At 46.0% G+C, this 22,559-nt stretch overlaps 10 annotated features.

Moving 5' to 3' along the window:
- Positions 932–19,727: an enhancer, noted in NCBI's record as "18796 nt extended CNE9 fragment from 19kbCNE9-betalacZ transgene". NCBI's record gives its function as "enhancer in mouse E13.5 embryo fore and hind limbs, mostly restricted to the zeugopodium, also weakly in hindbrain, and in E13.5-14.5 radius and ulna mesenchyme" and the evidence as "EXISTENCE:transgenic organism evidence [ECO:0001131][PMID:23575226]".
- Positions 11,669–12,694: a meiotic recombination region, noted in NCBI's record as "meiotic double-strand break mapped by DNA meiotic recombinase 1 chromatin immunoprecipitation followed by single-stranded DNA enrichment and sequencing on the Y chromosome in the germ cells of some male individuals with the PRDM9 A/A genotype". NCBI's record gives the evidence for it as "EXISTENCE:chromatin immunoprecipitation-seq evidence [ECO:0000229][PMID:25395542]".
- Positions 12,011–12,186: a mobile genetic element, noted in NCBI's record as "direction; reverse".
- Positions 12,121–12,122: a chromosome breakpoint, noted in NCBI's record as "proximal breakpoint sub-region, recombines with the distal breakpoint sub-region within the SHOX downstream enhancer, distal recombination region, resulting in a recurrent 47.5 kb deletion". NCBI's record gives the evidence for it as "EXISTENCE:nucleotide sequencing assay evidence [ECO:0000219][PMID:22791839]".
- Positions 12,143–12,155: a nucleotide motif, noted in NCBI's record as "nucleotide motif; similarity to the predicted 13-mer PRDM9 A binding motif (LD hotspot motif), CCNCCNTNNCCNC".
- Positions 18,769–19,601: an enhancer, noted in NCBI's record as "CNE9 PCR-amplified transgene fragment". NCBI's record gives its function as "enhancer in day 2 and day 3 zebrafish embryo eye, fin and blood" and the evidence as "EXISTENCE:transgenic organism evidence [ECO:0001131][PMID:21731768]".
- Positions 18,773–19,597: an enhancer, noted in NCBI's record as "CNE9 fragment from short CNE9-betalacZ transgene". NCBI's record gives its function as "enhancer in mouse E12.5 neural tissues, including hindbrain and neural tube" and the evidence as "EXISTENCE:transgenic organism evidence [ECO:0001131][PMID:23575226]".
- Positions 18,775–19,596: an enhancer, noted in NCBI's record as "CNE9 or ECS4 reporter construct fragment". NCBI's record gives its function as "enhancer in ovo in chicken limb buds, and in human U2OS osteosarcoma cells" and the evidence as "EXISTENCE:reporter gene assay evidence [ECO:0000049][PMID:16385461, PMID:17200153, PMID:22791839, PMID:26631348]".
- Positions 19,220–19,368: a conserved region, noted in NCBI's record as "conserved region; CRCNE00011104 more deeply conserved sub-region". NCBI's record gives the evidence for it as "EXISTENCE:sequence alignment evidence [ECO:0000200][PMID:21731768]".
- Positions 19,419–19,463: a conserved region, noted in NCBI's record as "conserved region; CRCNE00011105 more deeply conserved sub-region". NCBI's record gives the evidence for it as "EXISTENCE:sequence alignment evidence [ECO:0000200][PMID:21731768]".

Here is a 22,559-nt window from a genome sequence, read left to right on the forward strand (position 1 = left end):
TTTCACAGGATCTCACTCTGTCATTCAGACCAGAGTGTAGTGGTGCAAACACAGCTCACTGCAGCCTCAAACTCCCAGGCTCAAGGAAACCTTCCACCTCAGACTCCAGAGTAGCTGGGGCCACAGACACACGCCACCATGCCCCACTACTTTTTTTCCAGTTTTTGTAGAAATGGGGTCTCACTTTGTAGCTCAGGCTGGTGTCGAATTCCTGGCCTCAAGCAATCCTCCTGCCTCAACCTCCTAGAGTGGTGCAAATCTTCACAGAGTCCAGCCGCATCTTTCAGGAATGCATTTCTGTTGGACTTGCCGTGCGTTTAACTGACAGTGAACCAGGATGTACTCAAACAAAAGTTCAATGACTGCCCAACAAAAACATCCCATATTTTAAAGTGTTTTTAAAAAATCAGGCTGATGGGGGTTGGGGGCACCTGCTTGTGTAAGAGGAAGCACATGTGAGTTTTGTAAACTCTGGATTTTGAAAACATCATCCATGACCCTTTTGCATTTTGGATTAAGGTTTTCTCTGGCTGATAATTGACTATCATTTCTGAATCCCCAAAAATAAATGTTATACATTTTAGCTGGGGTGGGTAAAATGGACAGAGTCAAAGCTCTTAAAAAGTGACTTTTTCAAGGATCTAGAACCAGAAATGCCATTTGACCCAGCAATCCCATTACTGGGTATATACCCAAAGGATTATAAATCATTCTACTATAAAGACACATGCACACGTATGTTTATTGCAGCACTATTCACAATATTAAAGACTTGGAACCAACCCAAATGTCCATCAATGATAGACTGGATAAAGAAAATGTGGCACATAGACACCATGGAATACTATGCAGCCATCAAAAAGGATGAGTTCATGTCCTTTGCAGGGACATGGATGAAGCTGGAAACCATCATTCTCAGCAAACTATCACAGGAACAGAAAACCAAACACCGCATGTTCTCACTCATCAGTGGAAGTTGAACAATGAGAACACATGGACACAGGGAGGGGAACATCACACACCAGGGCTTGCTGGGGGGTGGAGGGTTAGGGAAGGGATAGCATTAGGACAAATACCTAATGTAGATGACGGGTCGATGGGTGCAGCAAACCACCATGGCACGTGTATACCTATGTAACAAACCTGCACGTTCTGCACATGTATCTCACACAACTTAAAGTATAATAATAATAATAATAATTAATAATAATAAAGTGACTTTGCAGTTCTCCAAGACAGGCAAGATTTCCACTGTAGAAACATTTCAAGAAACAGTGTGAGCCGTTTTAAACAGACGCTGTCACATCCAGGCAGTTATTCATCCCGCTGACTCTCAGATTACTGACCAGGGTACACGTGGTCGTATTACTGTGGCAGAAATCACTGGATGATATTATAGCTCACCATAGAATTCGAAACCTATTTTTTAATGCAATTTTTAAATACAGGCATTTGAGATAAATGTCCTTGAGTATTCTTCTGACATCTTAAAGCAGTTCCTTTCCAAATCCCTTGTGGCGTTGAGAAATGAGCTTGTAGGAAAAACGCTTAATTCTTTTTCCTGATTCGTAGCGATCAATGTTGAAATCAATCAAGTGGGGTCACATCGGCCTTTCCAAATAATAGTCCAAAGTTTTCAAATTAAAAAAAAAAAAAGCATTATGAGTTATATGAATTGGAGTAGACAGAACTGGATTTCTTTTTTTTTTTTTTCACTAGGCTTGTTTTAGGAATTATAACTTTACGATGTTCTGTAAGTTGCATGTCTGCTTTTTGAATGGCCCCTGTGGTTTTTGGAGTTCCTCTCCATGCCTGTACAAATCTCTCTGCCTCCCGAGGGGTCTCCAAAGTGGAAGATTACAGGCCACTGAGTCATGGCCGGATCCTTTTCAGGATGACAAAGCAATGCAGGCTTGGATTACAGAAGCCAGACGTGTTGCATATTAATCTACCTTCTACCCAGGAAAAGCAAAAACTGGAGGGAGAGTAAGAGCAATTAATTTAGAAGTGGCCGTGGGGAAGGCTCTTAGAGTCTAGATGAGAGAAGAGAGTCGGTTATTTACTCACAATATGGAGTTTTATTTTATTTTTATTCCCAGGGTTCTATCGGCATGAATTTCTCAGAAAAACAAAAACGAAAACACAAAACAAACAAACAAAAACCTTGAAGCCACAATGGCTGATAATTCATAAAATAATTATTCCATATAAGTCTCAGGCTGCATTTATATTTGAATTATAATTGGGATGAGAGGCAGGAAGTGCATAGGAATGACTTGTTACCACGAGCCCGCGCTCTGGAATGCAAAGCTGTAATTTTTAACGATGAAATGGCAGATATCTACACAGATCAGTGGAAAATACCTTAATTTTCCATAAATTTTCCTTCATGGTCCCCATGGGACCCGTAAGGTCTTCAACTGTGCTTGGGTGGTTTTTCTTTGGAGGAACACAGAGTTTCATCTTCTGGTGTATCCAAAGTCTCACATATGTTGCTGGCTCCCAGCAAGATGGGAAAAGAAGAAAAGAAAAAAAAAGAAAAGAAAAGAGAAGAGAAGAGAAGAGAAGAGAAGAGAAGAGAAGAAGAGAAGAGAAGAGAAGGGAGGGGAAGGGAAGAGAAGGAAGGGAAGGGAAGGAAAGGGAAGGGAAGGGAAGGGAAAGGAAGAAAAGAAAAGAATGAAGAAAAAGAAAAGAAAAGAAGATAAAAGAAAAGACAGGAAAAGAAAAGAAAGGGAAGAGAAAGGAAGAAAAGAAAAGAAATTTTACATTGATTTATTTATGGAAAATTAAATTTGTGGTCATGGGGCAACGTGTGGTGGACTGGAATATAGGCTCCCAAGAATCAGGGTGGGCATCAGAAAACAGAGCCGGGTGTGTGGAAGGCAGGAATAGCAACTCCTTCGGATTCCTGGTGGTTGCTATGCACGGTGACTTTCTTCATCTTGAAAATAATAGCGGCATTGCGTATCGTCTCACAAATACAGCACTAAATAATGAGGTAAAGAGTCTAATTCGCCCCCACATACCTCAGTCGCTGCAAGCCACACTCTAAGAAATGGTGGAGATGGTGTGCGTCTTACTGATGTAGATTTTGGGGTGGGCTCTCCAGTTTGGGAGACCAGGGTGACCTCCATGATCTCCTACTTCCCCAAGGCAGGTGTAGCACAAAACAAACACAGCTTACTCTACCCCTGATTGGGGAAAATCTCCTAAAAAAAATCCCGTCCTATCACTGTTCTTCTGTAACCCCATAACTCCTTCACCTCCCCACCTTGGGACCCACAAAGTCTCCAACTCTGTTTGGGTGGTTTTTGTTTGAGGGAACACAGAGTTTCATCTCTTGGTGTAACCAAAGTCTCACATATGTTGCTGGCTACCAGCAAGAGGAAAAGAGAAGAAAAGAAAAAAGGGAAGGGAAGAGAAGAAAACAAAAGGAAGGGAAGGGAAGGGAAGAAAACAAAAGGAAGGGAAGGGAAGGGAAGGAAGAGAAAAGAAGGGAAGGCAAAAGAAGGGAAGGGAAGAGAAGGGAAGGGAAGGGAAAGGAAGGGAAGGGAGAAAAGAAAAGAAGAAAAGAAAAAAAGAAGAAGAGGAGATAAAAGAAAAGAAAAAGAAAAGAAAAGAAATTTTACATTGATTTTTTTTTAAAGGAAGTGAATGAAATATTGAATTTTTTTTCCCCCTCCATGGTCAACCCCCAGGAAGTCTTCCCTGTTTCTATCTCTTTACCTCCTTTGATAAATGTGGGGACAAATTATTCATTGGATTCTCCCCTGCTCTACTCCTGTCTTTATTCATTTTTTTAATTACTGCAAGTACATAGTAGGTGTATATAGTTACGGGGTAGGTGAGACGTTTTCATGCCCACATGCAATATGCAGTAATCACATTAGGGTAAATAAGATATCCATGAACTCAAGCATTGAGGCTTTGTGTTACAATTCAATTATGCTCGTTTAGTTATTTACAAATGTACGATGAAGTGATTATTGATGATACTCACCCTGTTATGCTAGCAAAAACTAGGATTTATTTATTCTTTCTAATTATTTGTTGGTACACATTAACCTTCCCCACCTCTTCCACACAAACTCCCCACTATCTTTCTCAGCCTCTGAGAACCAGCCTTCTACTCTTCTATTTCCATGAGTTCAATTGTTTTCAATTTTAGCTCCTGCAAATAAGTGAGAACATGAAGAGTTTGTCTTTCTGTGCCTGGCTTATTTCACTGAACATAATGACCATCCGTTTTATTGCAAATGGCAAGATCTCATTCTTTTTCATGGCTGAATAGTATTCCATTCCATATGTGTAACACTTTTCTCTTCTTTCTTTCTTTTTCTTTCTTTCATTCTTTCTTTCTTTTTCTTTCTTTCTTTCTTTCTCTTTCTTTCTTTCTTCCTTCCTTCCTTTCTCTTTCTTTCTTTCTTCCTTCCTTTCTTCCTTCCTTCCTTTCTTTCTTTCTGTCTCTCTCTCTCTCTCCTCTCTTTTTTTTTTTTTGACAGAGTCTCGCTCTGTCACCCAGGGTGGAGTGCAGTGGTGCGATCTCGGCTCACTGCAACCTCTGTCTCCCAGATTCAAGCGATTCTCCTGCCTCAGCGTCCGGAATAGCTGGAATGACAGGCGCCCACCACCATGCCTAGCTGATTTTTCTATTTTTAGTAGAGATGGGGCTTCACCGTGTTAGCCAGGATGGTCTCGATCTCTTGACCTTGTGATCTGCCCTCTTCGGCCTACCAAAGTGCTGGGATTACAGGCGTGAGCCACCCTGCCCGGCCTTTTCTTCTTCTTCTTCTTTTTTTTTTTTTTTTTTTTTTTTTTTTGAGCAGTCTCTCTCTGTGACTCAGGCGGGAGTGCAGTGGCGTGATCTCAGCTCACTGCAACCTCTGCCTCCCAGGTTCAAGCGATTCTCCTGCCTCAGCCTCCCAAGTAGCTGGGATTACGGGCACCCGCCACCACGCCCGGCTCATTTTTGTATTTTTATGAGAGACAGGTTTCCACTGTGTTGGCCAGGCTGGTCTCGAACTCCTGACCTCAAGTGATCCATCTGCCTCGGCCTCCCAAAGTGCTGGGATTACAAGCGTGAGCCCCCTCGCCCGGCTCATTTTCTTTATCCATTCACCTGTTGATGAACACTTACGTTGTTTCCCAATCTCAGCTCTTGGGAACAGTGCTGCAATATACTATGAGATTGCAGGTATCTCAAAATAAAATAAAATAAAATAAAATAAAATAGAGCTACCATAGAATTCAGTAATCCTACTTTTTTGTATTTTTAGTAGAGACGGGGTTTCACCATGTTGGCCAGGCTGGTCTCCAACTCCTGACCTCAGGCGATCCACAAGCCTCGGCCTCCTAAACTTCAATATACTGACTTCTTTTATTGAGGGTGTATGCCCATCAGTGAGTATGATTGCTGAATTCTATGGTAGCTCTATTTTATTTTATTTATTGTTATTATTATTATTTTGAGACGGAGTCTCACTCTGTTGCCCAGCCTGGAGAGCAGTGATGGGATCTCGGCTTACCGCAACCTCCACCTCCCGGGTTCAAGTGATTCTCCTGCCTCAGCCTCCCCAGTAGCTGGATTAAGGCACCAGCCGACACTCCTGGCTAATTTTTTTTTTAATATATTTTTAGTAGAAACGGGGTCTCACCATGTTGGCCAGGCTGGTCTCGAACTCCTGGCCTCAGGTGATCTGCCTGCCTCGGCCTCCCCAATTACGATAGCTCGATTTGTAAGGGAACCTCCAAATTGCTCCCCATTGCGGTTGCACGAATTTACATCCCCACCCACAGTGGATGGGGTGAGATTACGCCTGTAATCCCAGCACTTTGGGAGGCCAAGGCGGGCGGGTTACTTGAGGTCAGGAGTTCGAGATGAGTCTGTCCAACATGGTGAAACCCCATCTGTACTAATAATACAAAAATTAGCCGGGCGTGGTGGCGGGCACCTGTAATCCCAGCTACTTGGGAGGCTGAGGCAGGAGAATCACCTGCCCCTGTCTTTAATATTGTGAAGACACATGAAGGGTGATATAGAATCAAGAAGAAGGATATCTTATTCGAGTATCAGACACTACCCCAGCTCTGTCCTCCCACAACCCCTCTGAACTTTGCTCGGAACGTAGAGGAAAAGACGTCCCTCCTGCTCCGGGAATCCCAGAAGAAAACTCCAGCCTGACAGAAGGAGGTTTATCTCCACCACCAGGACAGGAAGCTTCGCCCTGAGTGAGCAGGTCAGAAAGAAACAAGAGCTGCGTTCCCGACGTGGGGAAGGGCCCAAGCTGTGTGTTCATGGAGTCACATATTTTTCTGTGACATTTGCAGAAGGTATTTGGCCGGCCTCCTGGTAAGAGTTGAGACTGCTGGCCCTTTCTGTTTCTGTACCCCATCTCGGATGAACAATACATTCCATAGACATTCCCTAGACAGAGCCCACAGCCAGGACCCACATTTGAAGCCCCCGTGTAGACAGACACACAGTCCACAGCCAGGACCCACATTTCAAGCCCCCGTATAGATGGACACACAGTCCACAGGCAGGACCCACATTTAACCCCCGGTGTAGACAGACACACAGTCCACAGGCAGGACCCACATTTAACCCCCGGTGTAGACAGACACACAGTCCACAGGCAGGACCCATATTTAACCCCCGGTGTAGACAGACACACAGTCCACAGCCAGGACCCACATTTCAAGCCCCCGTGTACAAGGACACACAGTCACTTCTGTGATTTTGCATTCTTTTTTTTTTTTCTTAAATGGACTCCTCCCAAATGGAAACACTTCAATCCCCAAATAACTCGTCGTCCGCCCAGGACTCCTATCCAAGGGGTTCAGGCAGTGCACACAGCATATGGTTGTCTTTTTGCCTAAACAGCAAGGAGACATCGTGTGTCCCAGGGGGCGGACCCGTATGCACAATTCATGGGCGTCAGGTAAGATTCTGGAACAGTGCTCTGAAATCCAGCTGGGAAGAAAGTCAGAGGAAGTTGCAACTCACAGTTTAACACATATTAACTCTTTAGTCTGTGGATTCCTCATCGTGGAAAGGAGGAAAATGCAATCATCAAAGAAAGTGAACATTTGGGATGAAAATGACCTCCTTCCTCCTGAGGGTGGCCCCAGGCAGGGTCAGACCCCGGAACACAGACACAGTCGGGAAATCGTAACCACTGTCAGGTCCTCGCACACCTGCAATTTGGGTCTCTCAGAAACCTCATTTTAACAAACCGCATTCTCCAATTCCCTCTCTCTGTGTGCGTGTGTGTGTGTGTGTGTGTGTGTGTGTGTGTGTGTTTTGGGTTTTCTTTACCCAATCTCTTTTGGTAGTCTAGGTGAACCTCTTTTGGTATTTCTCGGATACTTCATCCCTTTTATTATTATTATTATTATTTTTTGAGATGGACTTTCACTCTGTCGCCCAGGCTGGAGTGCAGTGGCGTGATCTCGGCTCACTGCAAGCTCCACCACCCGGGTTCACGCCATTCCCGGGTATGCCTCAGCCTCCCGAGAGCTTGGACTACAGGCGCCCGCCACCACGCCCGGCTAATTTTTTGTATTTTTTTTGTAGTAGAGACGGGGTTTCACTGTGTTAGCCAGGATGGTCTCGATCTCCTGATCTTGTGGTCCACCCACCTCGGCCTCCCAAAGTGCTGGGATTACAGGCGTCAGCCAGCGCGCCCGGCAGACCCAATCTCTTTTGGATCAGATGTTTCATCCCTTTTTTTTTTTTTTTGAGATGGACCCAGGCTGGAGTGCAATGGTGCCATCTCAGCTCACTGCAACCTCCACCTCCCAGGTTCAAGAAATCCTCCTGCCTCACCCTCCCGAGTAGCTGGGACTACAGGTGCACGCCACCACGCCCGGCTAATTTTTGTATTTTTAGTGGAGATGGGATTTCACCATGTTGACCAGGCTGGTCTCGAACTCCTGACCTCAGATAATCCACCTGCCTCGGCCTCCCAAAGTGCTGGGATTCCAGGTGTGAACCACCGCGCCCAGCCTAGGACCCACACATTTTAAGCCCCGGTGTAGATGGGTGTTACCAACCCTAAACCCAAAAAGATCACTCCTATGTAGGATCATTTTGGTTTCATTTTCATAACAGGCAACATCGTACTAACTCTCAGAATCAGCTTTTCCTGGGCTCTGTGGTGAAAGATGATGTTGTCACCTGTCACTCTGCACAGAGAGAGATGCTTTCCAGCCCCCGAGAAAGGGCCCTCCATGCCTTTGGACACAAGCTCAGCTTCCTTCCCCTGTAACTCCAAAAGCATTTAAACTCTTTTCCTGGCCGGGTACGATGGCTTTTTTTTTTTTTTTTTTTTTTTTTTTGAGATGGAGTCTTGCTCTGTGGCCCAGGCTGGAGTGCAGTGGCGCGATCTCGGCTCACTGCAAGCTCCGCCTCCCGGGTTCAAGCCACTCTCCTGCCTCAGCCTCCTGAGTAGCTGGGACTACAGGCACCTGCCCCCACGCCCGGCTAATTTTTTTGTGTTTTTAGTAGAGATGGGGTTTCACCGTGTTAGCCAGGATGGTCTCGATCTCCTGACCTCGTGATCCACCCGCCTCGGCCTCCCAAAGTGCTGGGATGACAGGCGTGAGCCACTGCGCCCGGCCCAGACACTTTAAGTTACAGCAGACGGTGTCTTTCACTCCAGCGTGTGCTCAACAGATGAGTGTCTTGAGTCCAAATTAAAAACGTCAACAGTAAATCTACATTTTATATATGTTTTCTTTAATGATTTTTTTAAGGCACCAAACAGAATGAATAAAGAAGGGGAATGATGGAATGGTGGAAACTCTGTTTTTGTTTTTGTTTTTGTTTTTTCTCTCTTTCTCTCTTTTTCTTTTCCTCCTAGAGTTTGCCATGAATTACGTGTGGTCTAGCAGCCAAAGGAAGTGAACTGCAATAAACCTACAAATATAGGCTGTACAGACTCGACGTTTTTGCATTTCGAGTTAAACCCAACAAGACGTTAATTATGACCAGCCTGACCAACATGGCGAAACCCCATCTCTACTAAAAATACAAAAATGAGCCAGGCGTGGTGGCGGGTGCCTGTCATCCCAGCTACTCGCGAGGCTGAGGCAGGAGAATCACTTGAACCCGGGAAGCGGAGGTTGCAGTGAGCCAAAATTGTGCCACTGCACTCCAGCCTGGGCAAAAGAGCGAGGCACCGTCTGGGAAAAAAAAAAAAAAAAAAAAAAAAAAGGTTCATCAAATACCATGCGGTGCTTTTGCAGGTGGAAAGCTGCAGGATTGAATTGTTACAAATTATCTGCCTCCCCACAGCCTTTTTGTGTGTGTGTGAGATAGAGTCTCGCTCTGCAGCCCAGGCTGGAGTGCAGTGGCACGATCTCGGCTCGCTGCAACCTCCGCCTCCCGGGTTCAAGTGATGCTCCTGCCTCCGCCTCCCGAGTAGCTGGGATGACAGGCACCCGCCACCCTGCCTGGCTAATTTTTTGTATTTTTAGTAGAGAGACGGGGTTTCATCATGTTGGGCAGGCTGGTCTCGAACCCCTAACCTCAGGTGATCTGCCCGTCTCAGCCTCCCAAAGTGCTGGGATGACAGGCGTGTGCCACCACGCCAGGCTATTTTTTTGTATTTTTAGTAGAGACGGGGTTTCACCGTGTTAGCCAGGATGGTCTCGATCTCCTGACCTCGTGATCCACCCGCCTCGGCCTCCCAAAGTGCTGGGATGACAGGCGTGAGCCACCGCGCCCGGCCAATACCAATCTTGCTTCAACCCACTTTCCCCCTTGGTTGGTCCGAGGTGCAAACACAGATCCATACACAACACAGACACTCAAGACACACACACACACCTTTAGACAACGTACATGTATAGACACAACACAGCACGCTCAACAGACACACGCACGCATACACAACACACAGTCAACAGACACAAACATATCATACACATACAACACACACTCAAGACACAACGGCTGTACACGACACACATATATATAAATAATGCCACACACGATCAACACACACACACAACATACACTCAAGACACATCTACATAGAACACACGTGTATATACACAACAGACACACACACACAACACACAGTCAAGAAGCAACATCTATACACAACACACATGTATATACACAATACCACACATGCTTAACAGACACACCCACAAGACACACTGAAGACACAACATCTATACACAACACATATGTGTATACACAATGCCACACACAATCAACAGACACACACACAACACAGTCAAGACACATCTATAGAGAACACACGTATACACACAACAGACACACACAAACACACAATCAAGAAATAACATCTATCCACAACACCCATGTATATACACAATACCACACATGCTTAACAGACACACACGCAAGACACAACATCTATACAGAACACACATGTATATACACAATACCACACATGGGATCAACAGACACTAATACGCAACACACATTCAACAGACAAATGCACAAACACATCATATATAGAAGACACACACATCTATACACAACACAACACACTGAACAGACACAGAAACAACAGACACACACACAACATAACATGCTCAACAGACACACAACACACAAGAGACACGCACAAACACATCATATATACAAGACACACACATCTATACACAACACAACACACTCAACAGACACACACATACACAACACACAACAGACACACACACAACACGCTCAACAGACACACAACACACAAGAGACACACGCACAAACACATCATATATACAAGACACACACATCTATACACAACACAACACACTCAACAGACACACACATACACAACACACAACAGACACATACACAACACGCTCAACAGACACACAACACACAGACACACGCACAAACACATCATATATACAAGACACACACATCTATACACAACACAATCAACAGACACACACATACACAACACACAACAGACACACAACACGCTCAACACACACAACACACAAGAGACACGCACAAACACATCATATATACAAGACACACACATCTATACACAACACAACACACTCAACAGACACACACATACACAACACACAACAGACACACACACAACACGCTCAACAGACACACAACACACAAGAGACACACGCACAAACACATCATAAACACAACACACGCACTCAAGACACACATGGACACACAACACAGTTTAATGTAGGTTTCCTGCCGTTTTAGAACTGAAAAAAGAAGAATGAGGCGTGTGGGCTCATTGCAGAAGTTAACTAATGCTCTGAGATTTAATTTTTCAAGGAAAAAATGACCGTTTCTACATAGACATGTCCATAGACCATTTCTACAAGGAAGCACCGATTTGCAGCGTCCATCATGGGGACCTTTGTTTGCTTCCCCCTCTATGGGAAAATTACTTGGATGCCGCTCTTGTTTTAAGCCACTCTCGCCCTTGGCTGGTCCGAGGTGTAAAGACAAATGACTTTGGGATAAACGTGGGGTTTGCAGCAAAGTGTGAGCAGGAGTCACGGGCTCACCCCAGAATGTGGGGAGGCCAGACGTGGGGCCCGCTTCCTGCCGCCACTAATTAGCTTGGGTTTTATGGCCGGTCGTTAAAAAGGCCGGGTCAAACAGTTGCAAAGTTATGAAACAGCCACACAGGCTAAAGACCTGGGCTTTGCAGAGGTATGAATGTTTCGCTGTGTTGCCAACTTCTCCTGAACTTTGGCGTCCTCATGGGGAAAAAAAAATGTAAAAAAAAAATAAAAAAATAAAAAAAAATATCATATCTGCCTATTAAAAAGATTAGAAGCAAAAAAAAAAAAAAAAAAAAGAATCCAGGATTGAAGCAGGAAAAGGAGTCTTATGTCCACACAGCCAAGTCAACCTCAGCAAAATTAACTCCGTCTTTTCCGAGACGTCGTCACGATTATTATTATTATTATTTTTTGCTTCTAATCTTTTTAATAGGCAGATATGACATTTTTTTTATTTTTTTATTTTTTTATTTTTTATTTTATTATTATTATACTTTAAGTTTTAGGGTACAGGTGCACAATGTGCAGGTTAGTTACATATGTATCCATGTGCCATGCTGGTGTGGTGCACCCATTAACTCGTCATTTAACATTAGGTGTATCTCCCGATGCTATCCCTCCCCCGTCCCCCCACCCCACCACAGTCCCCAGAGTATGATGGTCACGATTATTTTTCTGTGATGACAGTAAGAGTCAGAAAATGTACCACCTTGATAAAGATATAGTTATCATTAGGTGCTTCTTGGGCCAGCTAGGAGATGATTGGGTTGTAAACTTGGGGGCTGGCTCTTGAGAAGGCATTCATTTGCTTTTGTGTTTTCACTCAGAAACCCACATTGATACTGGGCTTTGGAACTCTCCTCTGATTGCAAATTCCTGTCTTCCTAAGACAGGGTGGAGGGTTCCAGGGCTCCGTGTGTACGTAGGTGGTCAGGTCAGCCGGCCAACGCACCGACGCTACAGCAAATGATACGTATAAATTATTGGAGCACTGCGGGAATGGCAATTTGACTTTTTATGAGCCTGTAACGACGTCCCTAGAGAAGAGTGTGTATGTGTGTGTGTGTGAAATTCTGGAAAGGATTTTGCATTTTCATAGATTTGGCACCACTGACTTTAAAAGGGGCTGCTCTGGGTTTCGAATTTCTCCAGTCATCAATAAGAGCCATTTTGGTGGGGTTTTTTTCTTCTTCTTTTTTTAATGTCTGGTTTGTGCAGGAAATATAAAGATTGTAATCCTTGTTGACGAGGGGTCTTCAAAGAATGAGACTTTGGGGTGTAAAAGGGAGCTTACCCGTCTACATCTTGGGCATGGCAGTTTGGGCACCTATTTCAAGGGTGTGGGCACGAAACCACAAGCTCCTGTGAGCTCATATCGCTGCTGATGGGTTGACAGAGTAAGCGGGTTCCGGACACTGTGGCAGTTTAACCCAGACTCAGAAAAGCAAGGCAGAGATGAGACGGTCAGCTGCAAGCACCCTTTCTTCCCGTAGGCTGGTGGGCTGAGACGCTGCGTCTCTTCCTGCCTAAACCTGTTCTGGATGTTTTCACCACAAACTGGCATCTGCAATGTAACGGGCTGGAAAACGGGCAGTGTGGGGGATTGGATTGGCCCTGCTTGGGGGTGTCTCTCTTGAGGCCGTGAGCCCTGACTCTCTGCTCTCTGATCCATGAGGGTGGACTCCGGAGGCAAGGGGATGAGGCAGATAAGGGAAGGGAACGGACAGACTAGCGCTTGGAAGAAGAAAAAGGTTTAGATATTGTAAGGGTTTCCTGGGGATGCTGTCACAAGATGCCAAAAACCAGAGGATCAAACAAGAAAAATTTCATCTCTCCGCGTCCTGAACTACAGTCCTCCTAAAAACTGTATATACATCCTCAGTCTCATAGCCTGTGAACGGGACCTTATTTGGAAATAGGGTTTCTGCAGATGCAGGTAGTTAAGGATTTCAACATGAGATCATCCTGAAGTAAGGTGGATCCTAAATGCAATGACAGGTGTCTTTCTAAGAGACAGAAGAGGAGACACAGACACGGAGGAGAAGGCCACGTGGAGATGGAGGAGAGACAGGGAGGACTTCTGGACTCCAGGAAGGCCAGTATTGGGTCCACTATGATTGTGTTTAGTTCCTCCTGGAGGCTCTAGGGGAGGGTCCTTCCTGCCTCTCCCAGCTCCTGGGGGCTCCAGGCGTCCCTGGGCTTGTGGCCGCATCACTCCAGTCTCTGCCTCCGTCTCCACGTGGCCTTCTCCTCTGTGTCTGTGTCTCCTCTTCTGTCTCTTAGAAAGACACCTGCCATTGCATTTAGGACCCACCCTACTCCAGGATGATCTCATGTAGAAATCCTTGACTTAGTTACATTTGCAGAGACCTTATATCCAATTAACGTGCCATTCACATATTCTGGAAGTTAGGCTGTAGAGATAGCCTTTAGGGGGACTGTAGTTCAATTCAAAACAATTGTATTATCTTCCCTCTGGAGGCTGTAGGGGAGGGTCCTTCCTGCCTCTCCCAGGTCCTGGGGGCTCCAGGCATCCCTGGGCTTGTGGCCGCTTCACTCCAGTCTCTGCTGCCATCTCCATGTGGCCTTCTCCTCTGTGTCTGTGTCTCCTCTTCTGTCTCTTACAAGGACACTTGTTATTGGAATTAGAATCCACCCTAATCCAGGATGATCTCATCTCAATATCCTTAATTTATTACATCTGCAAATACTCTGTTTTCAAGAAGGGTTTCATTCACAGGTTCTATGAGTCAGGACATAAACGTGTTTCTTAGGGATCACCATTCAATCTACTAGAATTGTGTTCAGTTCCTTCTGGAGGCTCTAGGGGAGGGTCCTTTCTGCCTCTCCCAGCTCCTGGGGGCTCCAGGCGTCCCTGGGCTTGTGGCCCCATCACTCCAGTCTCTGCCTCCGTCTCTATGTGGACTTCTCCTCTCTAAGTGTATGGAAACTTCCCTCTTTTTACCAGGACGCGACTGATTGGATTGAGCATCCCCTCTGCTCCAGTCTTTCCTCATTATACGTCCATAATATCTGCAAAGACCCTATTTCCTACAACACCACGTTCACAGGTATGTACAGTTAGGACCTTAACAGATATTTTGAAGAAACACAATTCAGTTCACAACAGACATGTTTTTGAAGGAAACGGAAAGTCATTGATTTTTGTTTTTTTTTTGTTTTTAGTGAAGCAGATGGCAGTATTTTAAGGTAATCTTCCATACCGTGGCTCCAACTTCCTATGCAGAAAAATCCTTTTCTCTCTCAATGAGGAGCCTAGTTTTCAAGATTAGCCCAGCGTGGTGGCTCACGCCTGTAATCCCAGTGCTTTTGGAGGCTGAGGCAGACAGATCATGAAGTCAAGAGATGGAGACCGTACTGTCCAACAAGGTGAAACCCCATCTCTGCTAAAAATGCAGAAATTAGCCAGGCATGGTGGTGGATACCTGTCATCCCAGTGCTTTGGGAGGCCAAGGTGGATGGATCATGAGGTCAAGAGATCGAGACCATGCTGTTCAACATGGTGAAACCCCATCTCTACTAAAAATACAAAAATTAGCTGGGCATGGTGGTGGATGCCTGTCATCCCAGTGCTTTGGGAGGCCAAGGTGGATGGATCATGACGTCAAGAGATCGAGACCATGCTGTTCAACATGGTGAAACCCCATCTCTACTAAAAATACAAAAATTAGCCAGGCGTGATGGTGGATGCCTGTAATCCCAGTGCTTTTGGAGGCTGAGGCAGACAGAACATGAAGTCAAGAGATCGAGACCATACTGTCCAACATGGTGAAACCCCTTCTCTACTAAAAATACAAAAATTAGCCGGGCATGATGGTGGATGCCTGTAATCCCAGTGCTTTTGGAGGCTGAGGCAGACAGATCATGAAGTCAAGAGATGGAGACCATACTGTCCGACATGGTGAAACCCCATCTCTACTAAAAATATAGAAATTAGCCGGGCGTGGTGGTGGATGCCTGTAATCCCAGTGCTTTGGGAGGCTGAGGTGGATGGATCATGAGGTCAAGAGATCGAGACCATGCTGTCCAACATGGTGACACCCCGTCTCTACTAAAAATACAAAAATTAGCGGGGTGTGGTGGCTCACTCCTGTAATCCCAGCTACTCGGGAGGCTGAGGCAGGAGAATCGCTTGAACCTGGGAGGCGGCGGTTGCAGTGAGCCGAGATGGCGCCACTGAACTCCAGCCTGCTGACAGAATGAGGCTCTGTCTCAAAAAAAAAAAAAAAAAAAAAGATTTGTTCTTTTTTCCCGTTTCTAATTATCGGTGTCAGTTCCAAGGTTGTAATGATGTAATGAGTAAGACTTGATGCTGTGTGTTTGGCTGGAGTTTGTAGCTTTGAAAGGATCAAGTTGGAAGCCACATTTCTGATTCCCAGCTAAGAAAACTCTGGGGGAAATAAGTCAGGGAATGCAGAGAGGTCGGCGTTCACTTTCCAACGTGCCTGGTAGAAGTCAAATGTTCTGGCCAGGTGCGGTGCCTCATGCCTGTCATCCCACCACTTTGGGAAGGCGAGGCGGGAGGATCATGAGGTCAGGAGTTCAAGACCAGCCTGGCCAACATGGTGAAACCCCGTCTCTACTAAAAATATAAAAATTAGCAGGGTGTAGTGGTGTGCCTGTAATCCCAGCTACTCCGGAGGCTGAGGCAGGAGAATCACTTGAACCCGGGAGGCGGAGGTTGCAGAGATCACGCCACTGCACTCCAGCCTGGGTGACAGAGCGAGACTCCCTCTCCAAAAAAAAATAATAATAAATGAAAAAGAAGTCAAATGTTCCTCATGCCAGCATCGTGGTCTCTTGAGAAGACCAGGCTGAACTTGGTGAGCCTAATTCTCTGCCAGGAATGCTTTCTCTTCTGCGGGAATTCTTAGGGAAAGCCTCTCCAACAGTCTCATGCATGGACTAAAAGTTCCTTGGATCTAGGCAGGAATTTGGGAGAAATTGGGGGTTAGGCCCCTTCATAGACCCGACACACCATCCATGAGTTGCAACGGAGGTCCCCTTGCAATTTAAGCAACGCAACAAATCAGGGCAGGCAGCAGTTAACTTCTTAATTCCCCTTCGGCAATTCAAGGCTTTCACGGCGACCAGCTATTAGGCTGAGAAATTAGCTTTTACAGGAGGATTGCTCCATATTCCATATGCTGCCTTTCCCCTGGAGCTTGGAACTATAAATATCAACCCGATAATGACACGATGGTGGATTCTCATTCAGCTTGTGCATGTGTGGGTACGTGTGTGTCTGCATGCGCATGTGTGTTTGTGCATGTGTGTGCATGAATGTGTGTGAGGTTGCGTGTGTGCATGTATGTGTGCGCTCGTGTGTGCGCGCATGTGTGTGCATGTGTGCACGCATGTGTGTATGTGCATGTACGTGTGTGAGTGTGCATATGCGTGCACGTGTGCATGTATGTATGTGAGTGCGTGCATGGGTGTGCATGTATGTATGTGTGCATGTATTCTGTGTGCATGAATCTGTGAGGTTGCATGTGTGTGCACATACGTGTGTGCATGTATGTGTGTGTGCATGCGTGCGTGCATGTGTGTGAGTGTGCGTGTGTGCATGTGTATGTGCATGTACATGTGTGAGTGTGCATGTGTGCATGTATGTGAGTGTGTGTGCGTGTGCATGCATGTATGTGTGTGTATGTGTGTGCGTGTGCGTGTACGTGTGTGTGCACGCACGTGTGTGTGCATGTGTGTGTGACTGTGCCTGTGTGTGTGTGTGTAAACGAAATTCTTCAGAATGGTTTGCAATCTGGGGCTGATGTTTAATTGACAGGGGTCGGGGTGGCTGGTTATTTGGTCAAAGAAGTTGAATTAACTCCGCTGGAAATTGCAGTCCCAAAACCTAATGCTTTTCTCCAATTTCTTTTTTTTCTTTCCTTCCCGTCCCTTCCCTCCTCTCCCCTTCCCTCCTCTCCCCTCCCCTCCTCTCCCCTCCCCTTCCCTTCCCCTCTCCCCTCCCTTCCCTTCCCCTCCTCTCCTCTCCCTCTCCCCTCCCCTCCCTCTCCCCTCCCCTTCCCCTCTCCCCTCCCCTTCCCCTCTCCCCTCCCTTCCCCTCCCTTCCCCTCCCTCTCCCCTCCCTTTTCCCCTCCCCTTCCCCTCCCCTCTCCTCCCTTTCCCTGTCCACTCCCCTTCCCTGCCTTCTCCCCCTCCTTTCCCCTCCTCTCCCCTCCCCTTCCCCTTCCCTTTCCCCTCCCCTTCCCTTCCTTTCCTTTCCTTTCCTTTTTTCTTCTTTTCCTTTTGAGACAAGGTCTCACTTTGTCACCCAGGCTGGAATACAGTGGTTTAATCACAGCTCACTACAGCCCCTGCCTCCCAGGCTCAAACAATGCTCCCACCCCAGGCTCCTGAGTGTCTGGGACCACAGGCGTGCATCACCTTGCCTGGTCAGCATGGCGAGACGTCAACTCTAAAAAATACAAAAGTTAGTGGGGCATGGTGGTGCATGCGTGTGGTCCCAGCTGTTCGAGAGGCTGAGGCAGGAGGATTGCTTAAGCCTGGGAGGCAGAGGTTGCAGTGACTCGAGATCACGCCACTGCCCTCCAGCCTTGGCAACAGAGCAAGGTCTCATCTCAAAAAATATATATATATATATATAAAGAAATATATATATATATATATAAAATATATACATATATTTAAATTATATATAATGTATACATATATTTAAATTATATATAATGTATACATATATTTAAATTATATATAATGTATACATATATTTAAATTATATATAATGTATACATATATTTAAATTATATATAATGTATACATATATTTAAATTATATATAATGTATACATATATTTATATATAATGTATACATATATTTAAATTATATATAATATACATATTTGGATAGTTTTATTTATTTATTTATTGGAGTCTTGCTCTGTCCCCCAGGCTGGAGTGCAGTGACATGATCTCTGCTCACTGCAACCTCCGCCTTCCAGGCTCAAGCGATCCTCCTGCCTAAGCCTCCCGAGTAGCTGGGATTACAGGCGCCCGCCACCACCAGCTACTGGGGAGGCTGAGGCAGGAGGATCGCTTGACCCTCGGAGGCGGAGGTTGCAGTGAAGCGAGATTGCACCACTGCACTCCAGCCTGGGGGGCAGAGCCAGACTCTGTCTAAAAAAAAAAAAGAAAGAAAAAGAAAAAAAAAACCTGCACGTTGCTGGATGAGGAAGGGCCTTTTTTCAAAAAGTTGCACTTTTTTTCCCCCTATACTTTACTTCTTTGCTGTCATTAGCTAGGACTTGAAAGGGCAGGAACTCTAATTGTGTTTCCTCTGTGGGGCACAGAGTCCTGTCTCGACCCCGTCGTGCTGCCAAAGAAAACGCCGGGTTCCCTTCCACGTTGTTCATTTTCCTTTTCCTGCCCACTTAACAAAATTATATTCAATGAGTTGTGGGGGGAATTGACATCAACGGGCCGCGTCACGCAATTTCTGGTGAATATTCGAGAAGGGGGAAGCAAACAGTCCGGGTTCCTTCACATCTGTCAGAATCAATCACATTGTACCAAACCGAACGTAATCGCTTGCAAAGAAAATGAGGCATTTCCAGTGAAATCAGCCTCCCTTTACCCAGGAACATGTCCATAGTTAAGAGGTCTCTGTTTTAGGTTTTTTTTTTTTTATTTTAATCTTGCCTAATTAGTTTTTTTTTAATCACCCGTGCAACCGAGTCTCCAGACTGCATAATTGATGAGATGCAGAAGCCAGTGTCAGAAATCAAATGTCGTAAATTAAAAATAACAAGTTTGAGACGAGTGATTCAATTAAAAATCCAGAAAACATTGGATTCTGCATAACTGAACGTTTGCATAGAGACACCGCCTGTCATCCGTATCACGTTGCACCCGAGGATTGGATTGGGGCTGTCACGGGTATTTCAATCAACTCAGTAAAAAAAAAAAAAAAAAATTAGAAAACAAAGATGATATTTATTATTAACTTCCCGTGTTCAAAAACCACACGGAGACGTCTTTAGGTGGACTGCTTTACAGGACCAAGATTTATGTTAAGGGGACACTGCAGACACAAGAGGCCTGGCTGGCTGGGATGTAGGGAGGGTCCCCCTGGGACTGTTGGACCGTTTTCTGAGTACGTGAGGCTGCCAGGAGGACGGGGCTGCACAGAGCCGACTGGGACCCTCCAAGACGGACCCTGAGAAACCTCACTGGGTCCTCTCTCTCTTTTTTTTTTTTTTTTTTTTTGAGACGGCTTTTCACTCTTGTTTCCCAGGCTGGAGTGCAGTGGTGCAATCTTGGCTTTGCAACCTCTGCCTCCCGGGTTCAAGCGATTCTCCTGCCTCAGCCTCCCGAGTAGCTGGGATGACAGGCGCGCGCCACCACGCCTGGCTAAGTTTTTGTATTTTTATTAGAGACAGAGCTTCACCATGTTGGCCAGGCTGGTCTCGAACTCCTGACCTCAGGTGATCCTCAGGCATCGGCCTCCCAAAATGGTGGGATTATAGGCGTGAACCACCACACCCGGATCTCTGGGTCCTCTCTTATTTGCCCCATCTCAGCCCTGCAATTTATCTTAATAATGCTAAGGACAAATCCACTCTCCATTTCCAACATTTTATACATAGAATGACAATTCCTCTTTTTTTAATTTTTGCTTATTTATTTATTTTTTGAGACAGAGTCTGGCTCTTTTTTTTTTTAATTACAGGAGTCTCGTTCTGTTCCCCAGGCAGGAGTGCAGTGGCACGATCTTGGCTCACCACAACCTCCACCTCCCAGGTTCAAGCGATTCTCCTGCCTCAGCCTCCCAAGTAGCTGGGATGACAAGGTGCCCGCCACCACACCCAGCTAATTTTTTGTATTTTTAGTAGCGATGGGGTTTCACTGTGTTGGCCAGGCTGGTCTCAGACTCCTGACCTGGTGATCCGTCTGCCTCAGCCTCCCAAAGTGCTGGGATTACAGTTCAGCCTAACAAGGACCCAGGAACAACATATCTGCAGATAACCATAGAATCAGCTAGGATCCATGCCACCATTAAATACATGGAAGGCCCAGGTGTGGTGGCTCAGGCCTGTAATCTCAGCACTCTGGGAGGCCGAGGTGGGTGGATCACTTGAGATCAGCAGTTCAAGATCAGCATGACCAACATGATGAAACTCTATCTCTACTAAATACAAAATATCAGCCAGACGTGGTGGCAGGTGCCTGTAGTCCCAGCTACTTGGGAGGCTGAGGCAGGAGAATCCCTTCAACCTGGGAGGTGGAGGTTGCAGTGAGCCGAGATGGCACCATTGCACTCCAGCCTGGGCGACAGGAGCAAAAATTCTGTCTCAAAACACACACACAAACACGGTGGGACTAGGACTGAACCCTGATTCATGCCACTGCAGCTCAGAGGTCCTGGCTCCGCCACCTTCCCTCTGTGTGCCTCAGTTTCTTCTCCAGCCAATTGCCTAAGAGGTGGCTCAGTCAATGAGGGTATTGAACCAGTCCCTATAAACTCCATAAAATTAACCAGGGAAGAAGGGAGGGGAAGAAACGAAAATAGGCCAAGCCTGCAGAACCCTCAGCATTCATCATGAAATCAGCTTTCTTTTTTTCTTTCTTTTTTTGTGTTTTTTGGAGACAGAGTGTCACTCTGTTGCCCAGGCTGGAGTGCAATGGCATGATCTGGGCTCACTGCAACCTCCGCCTCCCAGGTTCAAGTGATTCTCCTACCTCAGCCTCCGGAGTAGCTGAGATTACAGGCATGTGCCACCATGCCCACCTAATTTTTGTATTTTCAGTAGAGATGGGGTTTCACCATGTTGGCCAGGCTGGTCTGGAACTCCTGACCTCAGGTAATCCACCCACCATGGCCTCCCAAAAGCTTTCTTTTTGACCTGCTTCCTCATAGCTGTTTGGTGCTGATTGTCCCAGAGTCACATAGATCCTAGCTTACGGTCCCCCTTCCCTGCTCTATAGGTGACAACTTAAGCATCAGGAAACATTTAGTTTTCCCTTTGAGATAGTCTTCCAGGTCCTGCATGCCAGCTACTGACACCATAGATATCTAATATTTATAATAGCTTAAAAAAATAATACTGACACCAGCTGGGCTGAAGGACCCCACAGGAGCTGACTCACCAAAGACTTCAGTTTCCCCATCCAGATGGCTTCATCCCCCTTACCCCAGCCAATTAATGACCCCAATTTTCCAGCCCCTTGTGCTTCATAATCCCTTTAAAAACTCCAGCCCAGAACTCCTCAGGGAGACAGACTTCAGGGTCTCCTCCCATATCCTCGCTCTGCACCTTGCAAGCATTGAGTTTTTTATCTGCTGCAAAGTCTGCTTTCTTGGTGTCCTGATCTGTTCATGATCCCTTTTAAAACTCCAGCCTGGCTGGGTGCGGTGGCTCACGTCTGTAATCCCAGCACTTTGGGAGGCCGAGGCAGGCAGATCACGAGGTCAGGAGTTCGAGACCAGCCTGGCCAACATGGTGAAACCCTGCCTCTACTAAAAATTAGCCAGTTATGGTGATGTGTGCCTGTAATCCCAGCTACACGGGAGGCTGAGGCAGGAAAATTGCTTGAATCTGGGAGGCGGAGGTTGCAGTCAGCTGAGATCATGCCACTGCACTCCAGCCTGGGCAACAGAGCAAGACTCTGTCTCAGAAAAAAAAGAAAAAATCTCCAGCCTACAACTCCTCAGGGAGATGGACTTCAGGGTCTCCTCCCATCTCCTCCCTCTGCACCTTGCAATCTTTGAATTCTTTCTCTGTTGCATACCCTGCTGTCTCAGTGTCTTGGTCTGTTACTCTGCAGGGAGCATTCACACGGTAGTCTTGTAACAGTACAAGGATACCTAAGTCCATACAGCTGGGGATCAAGCCATCGTTGCCCATTGGCTTCACTTTAGGGCTGTAAACTCACATTCATGTAAGGTTTCCCAATGAGTGAATTCTGTATTCCCATAAGCATTCACATTCCTAGTGTGAGAATAGCAGAGTTTAGCTGGGCTCACCTGTCTACCAGGTGTGGAGGCACCATTTGCAG

This window comes from Homo sapiens, chromosome X (genome assembly GCF_000001405.40).
Source record: "Homo sapiens chromosome X, GRCh38.p14 Primary Assembly".
Lineage (NCBI taxonomy): Eukaryota > Metazoa > Chordata > Mammalia > Primates > Hominidae > Homo > Homo sapiens.